General features: G+C 30.3%; 1 annotated feature.

Moving 5' to 3' along the window:
* Nucleotides 523–723: a silencer, noted in NCBI's record as "peak1427 fragment used in MPRA reporter construct". NCBI's record gives its function as "represses an SCP1 promoter by STARR-seq MPRAs in K562 erythroleukemia cells {active_cell/tissue: K562}" and the evidence as "EXISTENCE:reporter gene assay evidence [ECO:0000049][PMID:32103011]".

Here is a 2,763-nt window from a genome sequence, read left to right as displayed (position 1 = left end):
GATTTTTCTAGTTGTTTCTTAGCATGTTTACCTTTCCAGAAGCAGAACTCAATCTACTTCCTCTGTAATATTTTGTTATTGTGCTTTCATAATTGTTATGTATGCTACCTACTAAAATGGCTTTATCTTGCCATATTTCGAACATATTTCTTCTCTATCACATAGTATCATACTGAATTATACAGGATGTCTAAGGTGACATGCATTTTAAAAGTTATTGAAAATTATTTTCATTAGTACATTAAAGTCCAATAAGGAGCAATTCTTACTCATAATTATTTTCAGATATCAAAATAACTGCAAGAAAAAAAAACACTGACAAAATTAAAAACAAAACCAAAAAACCAAGGACAGCAATTTTTGTTTACTACAGAAGAAGGTAAATCATTTTATCCAAAAAGTCAGTTGGTACGGGAACTTGACGATACACAAATATCTGTTTTAAAATATGTTGGAAGTACTATTACCTATGTGATTCATTTATTTTTTTAAATTAATTAAACAAAAAGTCCACTTTCTTTTCTTTTTAAAAATTTTATTTTAGATTCATAGGTAAACGTGCAGGCTTGTTACAAGGAAGGGTATTTTGGGACTTGTTGTGGTTTGGGCTTCTAGTGAACCCATCACTCAAACTGTCAACAAAATAGGTTGCTTTTCAACCCTTGTCTACTGTCCTTCCTTCCCCTTTTTGAAGTCCCAGCGTCTACTATTTCCGTCATTATATCTATGTGTACGCATTGCATACACATAGTCTAGCTCCCACTTGTTAGTGAGAACATAAAGTATTTGATTTTCTGTTTCCGCATTAATTCACATAAGAAGACTATGGCAAATGTAATATGTTTGTTGATTTCATATATAACTTTAATTTACATTTTCACATCTTAAAAATTTTCTTTGCTTGTCGTTTGCTTTGCTTGACAATGCAGCCAGTAATAGTAATAATTACATCTATAAACAAATAAAAAACTTAAATTTCATCTAGATATAGAAATAAAATAGAAATATTAGCTAAAATATAGCAACTTACATTATACCAAAATTTTTCCAGATGATTTATTTTAAATGCACCAATGTGTTTATTTGTCACTCAGTGACTTTGTCTTTACCATCAGTCCTCATTAGTTATAGTTATTGACTTCTAATTTGAAATCAAGACAGATGACTTCTGTTTACTTTGCAGGTATTTACATGTGTGAAAATTTCCTCCAAATAAACCATTTTCAGTATGAGTAAATTGAAAATATATATACAATTTTTCTATTCTTCCTAACATATAAAAATTATGTCTATTAACCTGTAGCATCCCACACATGTTCATATAAACCAATTCTGGATACTGTGGGAATACTTAATAACTTCATTAAAAATGATTATCTATTCCTGTGATAGATACATCTGGTTAAATTGATGGTAAGCTAATAAATATTACTATCAAAGAACATTAGGTTTAAGTCCTGATTTGGACATTTACTATTTCAGCAAATTTCAGCGAGTTACTAAATTTTTCTAAGTATTACTTTTCTCACCTGTTAAATGGTAAAAATAATAACGTCATTACTGTGTAATAACCTCATGACAGTGTAATTCTCAAAAAAGAAAATATGTACTCTAGTATGGCAAGCAATAGGCGTTCAATAAATGGTAGCTACCATTCCCTTACTTTTATAAGGGAGGTGAGTTTACCCCCAAAGAAGTCTACCTGGCTTTGTCTGTCTCAATTTAAACTACAACTTATACTTATTGTATACTAAAAATAATAACAATTTCAACGTGGCATCTTTTGAAACCCTGGGAAGTCCAGCCAACAAAATGTATTTTCCATTCCAGCACTGAGAACAGGAACCATGTCTTGCTTGATTTTTTTTTGTTCCCCAGAAACCTGCCCAGTGACTGGCTAATGTATTAGTCACTCACATTTATTGAAAGGCATATAGGAATTTTCTAAGTTCTAAAATGTTTCATTGTTCTATTTTTCTTTTTTTTCCTTTCTACAGTTACAATAGGATTTCTTGGGTTCTAAATTGTTTGCTTTTAGTTATTTTTTTCTTTTTCATTTGCTTATATTGTTTCTACAGTTAGGAAAGGTGTGTTTATTTATTTATTTATATGTACATATATGACAAAACATTCCAAAGAAACAAATATAATATCCATATCTCTGAAAATGTTTATCTTAGCTGATGCTTTCCTTTACAATTTACACAACTATAGAAATGTAAACCTTTATAGTATGTATATTTATTCTGTAATCCTTTCCTAATCTATAAATTAGTCCAATAGTTTAGTTACATTTGTTTTCTCAATACATCTATAAAATTTTAAATAAAATATTCAATTTTTTAAAGAATTATGAAACATGTTTACTTTTAATGTAAAACTTATGTCTCCAAAGTGTAATATATGCTATAGAATAAATGCTAATGGAAACATTTTCCTATTATGGTGACTCACTGTATTCATTTAAAAGCCAAGGGGCTACTGGACTTAATTTTTTTTTGTTATTCAAATAAATGGCCTGGAGAAATATATTCTTAAGCATGTAAACCAACGATATAATCCTAAGGTCCCTAACTGATTGAACAGACTCCTTCTTGACCAAGGAGACCCTAGAGAATCTTGAAAAACTGAGTTCCCAACCATGACAGGAAGGGAGTTGATGTGGTTTGGCTGTGTCCTCATCCAAATCTCATCTTGAATTGAAGTTCCCATAATCCCCATGTGTTGTGGGAGGGACCTGGTGGGTGGTAATTGAATCATGGA

The sequence above is a fragment of the Homo sapiens genome, chromosome 11 (assembly GCF_000001405.40).
Source record: "Homo sapiens chromosome 11, GRCh38.p14 Primary Assembly".
Lineage (NCBI taxonomy): Eukaryota > Metazoa > Chordata > Mammalia > Primates > Hominidae > Homo > Homo sapiens.
The sequence above is the reverse complement of the archived record's forward strand: the minus strand, read 5'-3'. Positions and strand labels throughout refer to the sequence as shown.